At 47.7% G+C, this 13,209-nt stretch overlaps 1 pseudogene; it reads right to left on the reverse strand.

The window, feature by feature from the left end:
• On the reverse strand, positions 1,723-4,787 carry DNM1P34 (dynamin 1 pseudogene 34; annotated as a pseudogene).

The raw sequence follows: 13,209 nt of genomic DNA on the forward strand, positions 1-13,209 counted from the left end.
GTTATGGGATAAAAAAGGTTGTGGGATGAAAAAGTTACAGGATAAAAAATGTTATGGAAAAGTTGTGGCAAAAAAAAGTTGTGGAAAAAACGTAAAAGTTTTATGAAAAGCTTAAAAAAAGGGCCGGGCTCGCTGGCTCATGCCTGTAATCCCAGCACTTTGGGAGGCCGAGGCGGGTGGATCACGAGGTCAGGAGATCGAGACCATCCTGGCTAACATGCTGAAACCCCCTCTCTACTAAAAATACAAAAAAAAAAAATTAGCTGGGCGTGGTGGCGGGCGCCTGTAGTCCCAGCTACTCGGGAGGCTGAGGCAAGAGAATGGCGTGAACCTGGGAGGTGGAGCTTGCAGTGAGCCAAGATCGCACCACTGCACTCCAGCCAGGGTGACTGAGCAAGACTCCATCTCAAAAAAAAAAAAAAGCTTAAAGTATTATGAAAAAGAAATTATGGGATTAAAAAATAAGTCATGGGATAAAAATAAATAAAAGCAGGCCCCTGTCAGCATAAGCCTGGAGAAGTGGGGCTGGAGTCTCTGTCCCTACCATGCTCCTACCACCCCCTCCCAGTCACCCCTTTACCATTAGGGTAGCAAGACAAGACCCCTGTCTAATGGGGGGAGAAAAACAGACCCTTTGCCACCTTGACCAGGGCTGAGTCCTTAAATTTCTGGATGATGATGATTACTATTTAAGAGCCAGAGGCTGGTAGAGCTGGTTTGTTTGGAGGAGGCCTCATGGCCTCCCTACTCTCACCGAAGCAACTTTTCCCTCAGGGGGCTCCCATCTTCTTATTCAGAGAGGCAGCTGAGGCGGGACAGTGGGGCTAACTGTAGAGCAGGCGAGGGCACAGGCTGCTGGGGTGGACCCCCTTCCGCAGTGTACATATAGTATCTGTGTGACATTTTGTATATTCCAGGGGGTAGGGCCACCCCCTGTATTGTACCTAGAGGAGGTTGGAGCTGGCATATGAGGAGGAGGTTCTAATCATTATTTGTGGCTGGGAAACTTATTTATTGATAGCATAGGACAGAGGAAGGAGGCGGGGATGGGGTTGTGGCTCCCTGGTGATGTGACTCCCGTTTATTTTGCTTTTCATTTTGGAGTAAATGGATTTAGCCATACTGCTCAGCCTGGTGGATTCCCGTGTCCCTCACTGGGTCCTGGAGTTTGTGCCACTGAACGAGGAGCCCTAGAGTGACTGAGCATGTCCAGCTGGGCTCTTGGGGACCTTCCAGGCCTGTTACCTGTATGCTGCCTGGTGACACCTGGTGGATTTCACAGGGACTGCCATGGCGCCTATAGGGCACAGTCCCGCCCTGACAGCCAACAGCCTCAGAAGCCTGATGTAGCAGTGGCCGGGAAGACAAATACCAGCACCCAAGGGCACTGACTTCCACCCCAGGCATCTTCCGTTCCATCCCCCTGCCTCCCTCGCCTGTCTGCACCCGGTGGCCTGTTCTGTCTGTCCCTCCAGTGTACCTGGTGGCCTGTTAGTGCTGGCTGCCCCGCAGGCTCCTCCAGTCTGAGTTCATGGCCCTGCCCCCTAGTGGCCAGAGCCGGCTTCGCAGGATAAAAGCCAGCTAAGCTCCAGGGGCTTTCCAGGAAAAGTGTCCCTTGGAAAGGGTGTGTGGCCTTTTCACTCCTCCCAACAGCACCCTAGAAATGGCTTGGCCTTTTCCCTCCCCTGCGCTCCACAGAGAACACAGCCAGTAGAGGACACATTCCCCATCATCCAGAAATGGGTTTGATTCTCAGCCGAGGGACAGCAGGACTGGTAGAGACTGTCAGGCCACACAGCTGCCTGCACAGCACCCCCATTCTTGGTGGGGGGTGGGAGGGATGGCGGGGGCTGGCTGTCCACAGGCCGGACATGACAGGGAGGCTCACTGGAGGTGGCACACTTTGGAGGGGCAGTGTCAGGGGAGACCTTCCTCTTGTTGGGCCACAAGACTCCACAAGGACAGCACGGTGACAGATTCCCAGTGCTAGAGGCGAGGCGGTCAGCCATGTGTAGGTGTATATATATATATACGTATATATAACTAGATATATATATAGAGAGAGAGAGAGAGAGAGAGAGTATTTATAGATATTTATAGAACAGGGCAGGGGCATACCACAGAGGGGGCACAAGTTTTCAGCAACGGTCACACCTGGATCAGCTCACCACTATGACAGACTAAGTCACAGATGAAGGGGGCTGGCTTTGGGGCTGGGGAGCCACTGTCCAGTCACAGGACACCCGCCCAGGCAGGCTTGGAAAGGGAGGCCTCCGAGAAGAGGAGGATCTGTTTAGAGGTCAGAGTGGGGCTGGGGCTCTCAGGACGGGATGGACTTGCCTGACCTGATCAGCTGGCAGTTGGAGAGAAAGCAGAGAGAAAATGGGAGAGAGAAATGTGAGCAGAGAGCTGGTGAGGCAAGCACAGAGCACAGGCGTGCTGCAGCAGCTGTGGGAGGGCCGGGGAGGGGAGGACACAGGTGCAGGTGTGGCAAGGTTCCTGGAAAAGAGGGGCTGGAAGGAAAAGGGGAGGAAGATGGAGGGAGGAGCCGGAGCTTCACAGGTAGTGCCTGGGGGCTGTGGCAGCCCTCCCCAGCCCACACACACTGGCCTCTCCCACGGCACCCAGGCAGTGCACCCACAGTTCAGACCAATGCTCAGCCCCCTCGGGCTTCCCTCTTCTCTGGTCACCCTCCCCTTCCAACCCACTGGCCCAGGGCCACCTCTCGCCTTGGGGAGCCCCACCCAACAGCCACCAGGCCTGATAGAGAAGGAACACTGCTTGACCCAGGATGGTGAAGCTAAAAGGGATGGCTGGACTGAGTGAGCGCCAGAGGCCCCTCTGGGTCATCAGAAAGCCCAGGACCCTCTGAAAGGACCCTGGGGGAGGCAGGAAGGGCATATGCCACTGGCCATAGACTTATAAGTCTAAGGGGGGAGCCTCAGCTGGTTGTGGGGGCCTGCAGGTTGCATAGGTGAGCCTGGGCCCCTCCTGCTGGGAAAAGCAGAAGAGGGAGAGTCTGTGGCAGGGGAGGTGGGTGGGCTGGCTATGTGGAGCTCAGCTGGGCCAGCAGGGACTGTGGTCCCCTTGGCTGAATAGCACAGGTGACCCCTAGGAGCAACAGGCCAAGGTGCATGAGCCCGCTGGCTGGCGGTAGTGTTTCAGCAGGGGCCAGGGACCCTGCCTTCAGTCACACGCTAGCAGGTATGATGGTATCTGGGAGGGAGGGAAGGGGGCTGTGTGTTCCTGCCTGGCCTGTGAGGTGTGTTGTGGGATGACCATGTGTATGGGACTCTCAAGATTTTATCCTAGATCACCACTGGATTGCCAACATATAGAGGAGGTGGGACCCTGACTATCAACCCTGCTCTGCAGTGGATTTGGCTCTCGGCACTCCCAGACTGGGAACTGGATACCCTGCCCTGGCAGCATGACTCAGACTGCACGACAGTTATGTTGTGCCCAGGTGACATTCCTAGGCCTCTGGCCGCCTCAGAGTCCAGCCCCACACACAACGCCCTCCACATTCCCAGCCCCTACACCATAAACCATGAGTTCTCTGCCCTCTCCGAGGACTCTAGAGAGCACCCACATCTGCCAACTTGGGCATGGAGGCTGTTCCAAGAGCCCACAGTCTTAGCCATGGAGGCTGGGGGGCTTTGGGGCCGTGGGGGCCAGCCCTGGTACCTGCATCCAGTAGGATGCTCTGCACCTGCAGTCAGGAGTTGTCCATGGGCCCCCGTGGGCGTGCTGATTGTGTTCATGACCGCTGTGCCTGCTCTGCCGACTCCTCCATCAGCATGTTCTTGTCCCCATGCAAGTACAGGTTGGCCAGCAGCTCCGAGAAGATAAACTCCTTGTTCTGAGAGTGGGCAAAGAGGGAAGGAGGTTGGGACCTGATGCCTGTGCCACCCTGGCCACCCTGCCAGGCCCTGCTGGGGCTGTACGCTGGACTTGGAGCCCCGGGTATGGCTTTTCAGATGCGGCTTCTACACTGCTTAGACTCGAAGACCCACCTCCCCACCGCTTTTTCTCACTCAGATGGGGACACTGAGGTCCAGAGGAAAAGTCACCTGCCCAAGGTCACAGATCTGGGAGGGGACCCAGGATCTATCATGCCACCAGGACACCTGTCTACTCAGTTTTTAATTTTTGGAGATAGGATCTCTCTCTATTGCCAGGCTGGAGTATAGTGGGCAAGATCATGGCTCACTGCAGCCTCAACCTCCTTGGCTCAAAGTGATCCTCCAAGGTTAGCCTGTTGAGTAGCTAGGACTACAGGCAAGTGCCACCACCAGGCCCAGCTATTTTTAAAATTTTTTTGTAGAGACCAGGTCTCACTATGTTACCCAGGCTGGTCTCAAACTCCTGGGCTCAAGCGATCCTTCTGCCTTGGCCTCCCAAAGTGCTGGGATTACAGGCATGGGCCACTGTGCCCAGTCCCACGTTATAATTCTATGGGACAGCTCTGGTCTGGACCGTGCCCCTCTCCCTGGACCTGGTCCCATAGGGCTGGTTGTCATCTCTGGCAGGACAACATGGCCACCTGTGTCCCCAGTGCCACAGGAGCCCCCTGCCCCCATGAGGCGGTGCACGCACGTTGTTGATCATGAGGTGCATGATGGTCTTGGGTGTGAGACCAACCATGAGGTCCCACACGGTCTTGTTGACAATGGCCACATAGGAGTCCACCAGGCTCTGGGTGGTCTCCATCTGCCACTCCAGCTGTGGGACCATGGAGTGCATGAAGCTGTTGGAACCATTCTCCTCGGCCTTGCTGGCCTGCTGTGGAGAGCACGAAGGCATCAGGGCGGCCAGGCCATGCAGCCAGGCTCCAGGCATCCCCAGGATCTCAGCCCCCTCCAAGGGTACCTGGAACATTGAGGCACAGGGAGAAACAACTGGCCAGAACACACACCCAGCTCCCCACACAATCTAGAGGGTTTCAGGTCTCTGCCTCTCAGGACCCCAGACTCTCCCGATTCAGCCTCGTCTTAGTTCTGACTCTAGTACCCAGAATTTGCCTCCATTTCCCAATCCAGAAATTGGAAAAGAACATCTCCAGGTCCCTCACTTGAAGACATGGCCAGAGGTGGTGCCATGCTACAGACACCTGGCAGGAGGTGGGAAGGGCATACTCACTTTCCCCTTGTCCTGGGAGGCCCACACACCAACATTGCCGCCACCGCTGCCACCTGGGAGCACAGCCAAAGTAGACACACACAGGAAAAGGGGAAGGGTTGAGTGAAGCTGGGACACTGCACCCCAACTTTAATGTGTTGATGAATTCAATCTGCTAATATTTTGTGGAGGATTTTTGCATCAATATTCATCAGTGATATTGGCCTGTAGTTCTCTGTTTTGGATGTATCTTTGGTTTTGGTATCAGGGTAATACTAGCCTTGTAGAATGAGTTTGGAATAGTTGGGTAAGGCCTCTAGTTTTGGAATAGTTTGGGTAAGGTTGGTATGAGTTCTTCTTTAAATGTTTGGTAGAATTCAGCAGTGAAGCACCAGGTCCCAGGCTTTTCTTCGCAGGGAGACTTTTTATTACCGCTTTGATGTCATGGTTTCTTATTGGTCTGTTCAGGTTTTGGATTTCATCACGGTTCAATCTTGGCAGGCTGGATGTGTCTAGAAATGTATCCATTTTTAGTAGGTTTTCCTATTTCTTTGCATACATTGCTTATAACAGCCACTAGTGAGCCTGTGAATTTTTGTGGTATCAGTTGTAATTTTCCTTTTTCATCTTAGATTTTATTCACTTGTGTCTTCTTTTTGTCTTAGTCTTACTTTGGCTAAAAGTTTGTCAACATTGTTTCTCTCTTCCAAAACCCAACTTTTCATTTCATTGATGCTTTTGATTGTTGTCTTCATTTCAATTCCATTTATTTCTGCTCTGATCTTTATTATTTTTCTTCTACTAATTTTGGGTTTGCTTTGCTCTTGCTTTTCTATTTCTTTAAGATGCATTGTTAGGTTGATTATTTGATGCTTTTCTACTTTTAAAAAGTAGGAGTTTATAGCCGTAAATTTCCCTCTTAGTACTGCTTTTGTCGTATCCCATAGGTTCTGGCATGTTGTGTTTCCATTATCATTTAAGAAATGTTCCAATTTCCTTCTTAATTTCTTCACTGACCCAGAGCATATTATTTAATCTCCATGAGTTTGTATAGTTTCCAACATTTCTTGTTACTAACTTCTAGTTTTATTCCATTGTGATCAGAGAAGATGTTTGATATTATTTCATTTTTCTCTAATGTTTTAAGATGTGTCGTGTGACCTAAGATATGGTGTGTCCTTGAGAATGATCCATGTGCTGAGGAAAAAAATGTGTATTCTGTAGCCCAAGGGAGAAGACACCTGCCCCCACTCTGCTGCAACACACAGCGCTCTGCTCAGGGATGGGGCAGTGGTGTGCTGTTGTTACACAAGGGGCTCTCTGTCGGGGAGGGAACAGAAGTCTGTTCTGTAGTGTTTGCCATTTTCGGTGGTGCAAATATTCCATGGCTGATTTCAAACTGCCACCGTCTTCTCAGCCTGGGCTTGTTTGTACCCACCCTTGGGAAGGCTTTCCAGGTATTTGAAAGGATGTGGGTGTTGTGATCTCAACTGTATCTTTATTAGGGGACACTCCAAGCCAAGTTACGCTAAAGTTCTTGCAGACTCAGAGGAACTGCCCTGATGGTCTTGGATAAGATCTAGAAGAATCATCTGGGCTACCAGGCATTAGAGACTCTTATTCTGTACCTGTAATTTTTCTCCAAAAAAACAGTCTGTCTATCTGTCTGTCTGTCTCTCTCTCTCTCTCTTCCTACCTCCCTCCCTCCCTTTCTCTCTCTGCTGGGTCACTTGGAGCTGGGGTGGACTGATACAACATCCCTATGGCTACCACCACTGGGACTGCACGGGGTCAGACCTAAAGCTTGAGTAAGCTCAAGGCCCACTGTCAACACTACCCGGCTATTGCCTATGCTAAGATTCAGATTATTCACAAAATGCTCCCAAGTGAAGAAAATACTTTAACCACATGAAGTATCATGCTACACAATATGGTGTGGTGGGGAAGGGTGCAGGCTCTAAAACCAGAAAACACGGGTTCAAGTCCTGGCCCTACCACCTTAGCAAGGTTACATGGTCTCTCTGTGCCTCCATTTCCTCATCTAAAATGTGGGGATGACAATAATAGTGTCTATTTCACAGAGTTGTTTTGAGGAAAATAATATATGTAAAGCACTGTGAACAGCAGTTAGTGCTATGTAAGTGTTTGCTCTAGTTATTTTAACATTTCAGATGATAAATATCTACCCTGTTATTCAGATGACAAGCGTCCCTAAGCTGATAACATGATGAAGAACTTTTGGGTTTCTTAATTACCATCAGTTTTGTGAGGGAAAAAATACCACATGAAGAAGAGCAACTGAAGCAGGCGTGAGGAGGAAACTTGGCTTAAGATTGGGGGGCTTGGGGTTATTAGGCTTTCATCTTCTCAAATGTCCTAAGCTCCACTGATAAGAAGACGCTTAGTATCAATCCAGCTAAAAAGGAACAATAGACCCCACAAGACACTGAGTTAGAGACAAAAATAGCAGGGTAATAAATGAAATATGGAAAACTACACAACCAGAAAAATAAACAGCTACCAGTACCCAAAACGTGGTTAAATCTCACAGGATTATATTGAATGAAAGAAGCCAGCCACAAACGTGCACATACTGAATGATCCCATTTATATGAAGTTCCAGAACAGGCGAAACTAATTCATGGTGACAGAGGTCAGGATCCTGGTTAACTTTGAGGGGACAGCAACTGAGAAAGGGCAAGAGGGAGCCCTCTGTGTTGATGGGAACATTCTGTATCTTGAGCTGAGTGGTGGTTACATGAAAGTGCACATATGTAAATACTATGGAGTTGGCCAGGTGCAGTGGCTCACACCTGTAATCCCAGCAGTTGGGGAGGCTGAGGCAGGCAGATTACTTGAGGTCAGGAGTTCAAGAATAGCCTGGCCAACATGGTGAAACGCTATCTCTACTACAATACAAAAATTACCCAGACGTGGTGGTAGGTGCCTGTAATGCCAGCTACTCAGGAGGCTGAGGCAGGAGAATTGCTTGAATGCAAGAGGCGGAGTTTTCACTGAGCCAAGATCGAGTCACTGCACTCCAGTCTGGGCAACAGAGAGAGACTCCATCTCAAAAACAAAAAAAATATGGAGTTGTAACTTAAGGTATATGCACTTCACTGTATGTAAGATACTGTCTTAGTCCATTTGTGCTGCTATAACAAAATATATGAGACTGGGTAATAGGTAAAGAATAAAAATTTATTTCTCACAGTTCTGGTAGCTGGGAAGTCCAAGATCAAGGTGCCAGCAGGTTTGTAGTCTAGCGAGGGCTGCTCTCTGCTTCTAAGATGGCACCTTGAACACTATGTCCTAACATAATGGAAAAGACAGAAAAACAAAAGAAGAAAACCGAGCTAGGTAGCTCCCTCAAGCCCTTTCATAAGGTCACTAATCCCATTCACGAGGGGGCTCCTCCCTTACAGCTTAGTCATCTCCTAAACACTTCACCTCTTAATGCTATCACATTGGGGTTTAAGTTCCAATATGAATTTTAAAGGAGACACAATCATTCCAACCATAGCAAATATACTCTACTAAAAAGAAAAAAAGGAAAATCTTGTCTCTAAACATAATATTTTAAGAGTTTACATATTTACAGCTCAATTTTCTGCTTGCTTACATACATATTTGTGACCATGAGTGTCATTATTAGCCGAGAAAAGTTTCAGTAAATTAAATTTTTTTCTCACATTATCTATTAATACCTTATTCAGATAAAACCAAATTTCTAACCTAGATTTTAGGTTGAGACAGAAACCCATAGTCGTTTGTTGCAATGTGAGAATGACAGAGAGAGAGATTAACTAGCAGGATCCAACTATAAAAATAAATTTAAGGGAACAGTTCTCTACTAATGACTCCCCCAGCAAATCATTACTTGGATAGCAATGAATCAACTAAAAATGGAAGTGAGAACAGTTCGAGTCCTTTTTGCAATGGATGGATGTTTATGAGACTATTAAGTGAAGAGGTTCACAAACAAGGGGATAAATGGCATGGTAATTTGGAGTTGAATGGAGTAATCTTGGAAATATAAAAATCGTGCTTAATGGGACTTGTCTACTTGCAATTCAATAAGCCAACATACGTAAATTCAAACAGACGATGGACATGAACACTCAGAACAAAATTACAGAAGCAGGGCTGGGTGCAGTGGCTCACGCCTGTAATCCCAGCACTTTGGGAGGCTGAGGCGGTTGGAGAGGTCAGGAGCTTCTGACGAGCCTGGCCAAAGTGGTGAAATCCCGTCTCTGCTAAAAATACAAAAATTAGCCAGGCGTGGTGGCGGGCACCTGTAGTCCCAGCTACTCGGGAGGCTGAGGCAGGAGAATTGCTTGAACCCAGGAGGCGGAAGTTGCAGTGAGCTGAGATTGCACCACTGCACTCTAGCCTGGGCGGCCAAGGTAAGACTCCGTCTTAAAAAAAAAAAAAAGAAAAAAGAAAAAAAAATTAGCCAGGCGAGGTGATGGGCGCCTATAGTACCAGCTACTTGGGAGGCTGAGGAAGGAGGATCACTCGAACCCAGAAGGTGGAGGTTGCAGTGAGCAGAGATTGCGCCACTGCACTGCAGCCTGGGTGACAGAGCAAGACTCCGTCTCAAAAAAAAAAAAAAATTTTACAGGAATAAATTTAGCAAAGAGGCACCAAAGTTAAGGTAAGGCCCACTGTTCCACCTCTGACGTCTTTAATTCTTGAGTCATGGGGATGGCAAGCCAGGAACAGAGTCTTCTGACTGGAAGCTAAAACCAGCCTTTGAGGTGGGTGCAGAGAGACTGTTCAGACTAAAGATGAGAAAATGTTCAGACTAAACATGGTCGAAAATATCCCGAAGGCAAGGGCATTTTCAAAGACAGTGGTGCTTCGAGAAAGAGAATGCTGTGTGTTTAAAAACAAAAGAATGGAAACAAGGAAGAAAAATTGACCGGAGCGTAGGGTGACCATATGCTCTGGTTTGCAAGGTACAGCTAAGGTTATGTCTGCTGTCCTGGTGCAATTATTATAGTGCCCCTTTCACTCTGAAGTGTCTGGATTTGGATGATAAAGCATATGGTCACCCTACCAAAGACAGGAAGTTAGCCAGAAGACCCATGTGTCCATTTTAGGCAGTATGGACTGATCCACAGCCAGGCTCGTGCCACTTCCCAGCTGAGCGGTGTGCACCACCTCTGCCTCGCCCTATTCCGCCCTGCCCGGGTTTCCAGGAAGGCTGGAGCTGAACCCTCGGCTCCCGCGCTGCTCTGGTGCTACCTGCAGGTTGTGTGGGGGAACTGCTTCTCCCCACCCCGAACCTGGACAGCCTTGGACTTGGCAAAAAGACTGTCAGGTGCTGTTCCCCACATCTCTTGTCTTTCCGCTAACACTTTAGGATAGTGAGGAAGCAAAAGAGCTTGAGCTTACTAAGCTCCTACTGCGTACTGGGCACAGAGTGGGCACTTTTCTCTCCAGCCTCGCAATTGATGGGAAATAGGTGATTGTACAACTAGGATACAGGATCAGAGTGGGCTAGCGACGTGCTCACAGTCTCTCAGCTGAAACTGGAACCCAGGGGTCTTTGACTCTAAAGCTAGTGCTCTTTTTGGGTCTCCAGCTTGAGCAATAGTTGCAAAATGCAAAGAGCACCATGAAAATCTAATATTGATCCACATAAGACCGTATTGCAAACAGAAACATGCAGTGTCTTCGTGGGAGTGATGGCGAGGTGGGGAGATTATCTCAGTTCTATGTAACCTGGGAACTCTCCAAGGAAAATGAATGAAGCATGACCGAGTGCAATTTGTCTGATAAAATCTGTCAGAACGTGGGGCCTTGTGGGTCCTGAGTGAAGGCAAGAACCCATGGTGCTGGACATTTGCTAAGGTGTTCTTTATGAAATCACTCAGGGCCTCAGTGCCTCCACCTTCTCCATGACCCCAGGCAGTTTCCCCGTCTGTCTTCATCCTACTGCCTGGCACACTATCCATCAAACTGCTTTTGGGGTTATGTCTCAATAAAACAAAAATCATGGTGGGAGTCATTTACACCCTAGTGAGAGTCATCTAAGATTCCCTTATCTTCTCAGACCTTTTAGCTGAAGTTGGTTATGAGAGAGGATGGGGAGGGGGAAAAGGGTCGGGGCAAGCACTTGGAGCTTGCACTGTTTCTTGCCAACGCCCTGGCACAGTGTGAATATGTCCATCTAAATGGAGAGCTCTATGCATGTTCCTCTCTATTCCCTTTGTCACCAATACCAATTCCCAAGGCAGAGCCCCGGGTGGGCTGGCCTGAAGGACCTGGAGGTAATAGGAAACACTTGGCTTTGGGTTTCAGGTCAAGCTCTGCCAGTGACTTGCTGTGTAACATCAGACAAGTCAGTTCACCTCTCTGCACTTCAGCGACCTCATCTGTAAAAGGCTGGTTTGGACTAGATCATTAATTTTCTTAAGTTTTGCAGTTGTTTTTTATTTTAACAGTATATTCAATTCCTCCCCTATCTTTATTAAAGTATAATTGACAAATAAAAATTGTGTATATTGACAGTGTTCAATGTGATACATGCATACATTGTGAAATGATTAAAATGAGTTAATTAACACTTTAATCACCTCACATACTTTTTTTTGTGGTAAGAACATTTAAGATGTATTTACTTAGAAATAGTGTTTACTAGAGGTGAGGAAGGGTAAGGGGGAGAAAGTACCCAAAGGTTGGCTAACAGGTTAACAGATACAAGAGTACATGGCTGAGTGCAGTGGCTCATGCCTGTAATCCTAGCACTTTGGGAGGCTCACTTGAGCCCAGGAGTTTGAGACCAGGCTGGACAACATAGGAGATCCAATCTCTACAAAAAAATTAGAAATTAGCCAGGCATGTTGGTGCATGCCTGTGGTCCCAGCTACTCTGGAGACTGAGGTAGGAGGATCACTTGGGCCCAAGAGGTCAAGGCTGCAGTGAGTTGTGATTGCACCACTTCATTCCAGCCTAGGGAGCAGAGTGACACCCTGTCTGGGGAAGAAAAACAAAACAAAACAAAAACAAAGAGTACAGCCAGATGGGAGGAATAGTTCTAGTGTCTTTAGCACTATAGGGTAACTATAATTCATGACACTTTATTATATATTTTTAAATAGCCAGAAGAGTGGATTTTGAATGCCCCCAGAACAAAGAAATGATAAATGTTTGAGGTGGTGGAGATGCTAATTACGACTTGATCATTACACATTGTATATATGTATAAAAATATTATACTGTATCCCATAAGTATACACAATTATGTTTTGCTTAAAAATAATAAAAGCAGGCCGGGCATGGTGGCTCACGCCTCTAATCCCATCACTTTGGGAGGCCAAGGCAGGAAATCGAGACCATCCTGGCTAACATGGTGAAACCCCATCTGTACTAAAAATGCAAAACATTAGCCGGGCGTGGTGGCGCGTGCCTGTAGTCCCAGCTACTCGGGAGGCTGAGGCAGGAGAATCACTTGAGCCTGGGAGGCAGAGGTTACAGTGAGCTGAGATTGTGCCACTGCACTCCAGCCTGGGTGAGAGAGCAAGACTCTGTCTCAAATAATAATAATAATAATAATAATAAAAGCAAAAAATCTACTCTTAGTAATTTTCAAGTATACATTATTAACTATAGTCATCATGCTGTACAACAGATCTCCAGAACTTACAACATTATATTTAATTCTGATCAAACTACTAGTTACACAGAAGTAACAACAAAATGATATCTGTTGCAAGAAATCCTCAGTAAAACAAGAAAAGAAGAAAAAAAGAACAAAATGGTAGTGAAAGGCTTATATCAAAAAGCATTTCCTCTGCCCTTTCCTTTCTTGCCTTTGAGTCCTAATTCCTATAGGTCATCACTTTAAACTCATTTTGCGACTTCCCCTGGTATGTTATCGTCATATTTCTAAAGAATGTTTATGTTGCTATTTCTTGATTTGTTTTCTTCAGTATCTGTCAGTTCCTGGCATAGCTCAGTATAGGGCTTACCTTCCTATGAGGTCTTAATTTCCTTGCCTCCATTTCACTAATTTGACTGGATCACAATCGCATGAAATCAAAAGCATTTACATTCTTGTAGCCATCTAAATATTGACCC

Source organism: Homo sapiens, chromosome 15 (genome assembly GCF_000001405.40).
Source record: "Homo sapiens chromosome 15, GRCh38.p14 Primary Assembly".
Lineage (NCBI taxonomy): Eukaryota > Metazoa > Chordata > Mammalia > Primates > Hominidae > Homo > Homo sapiens.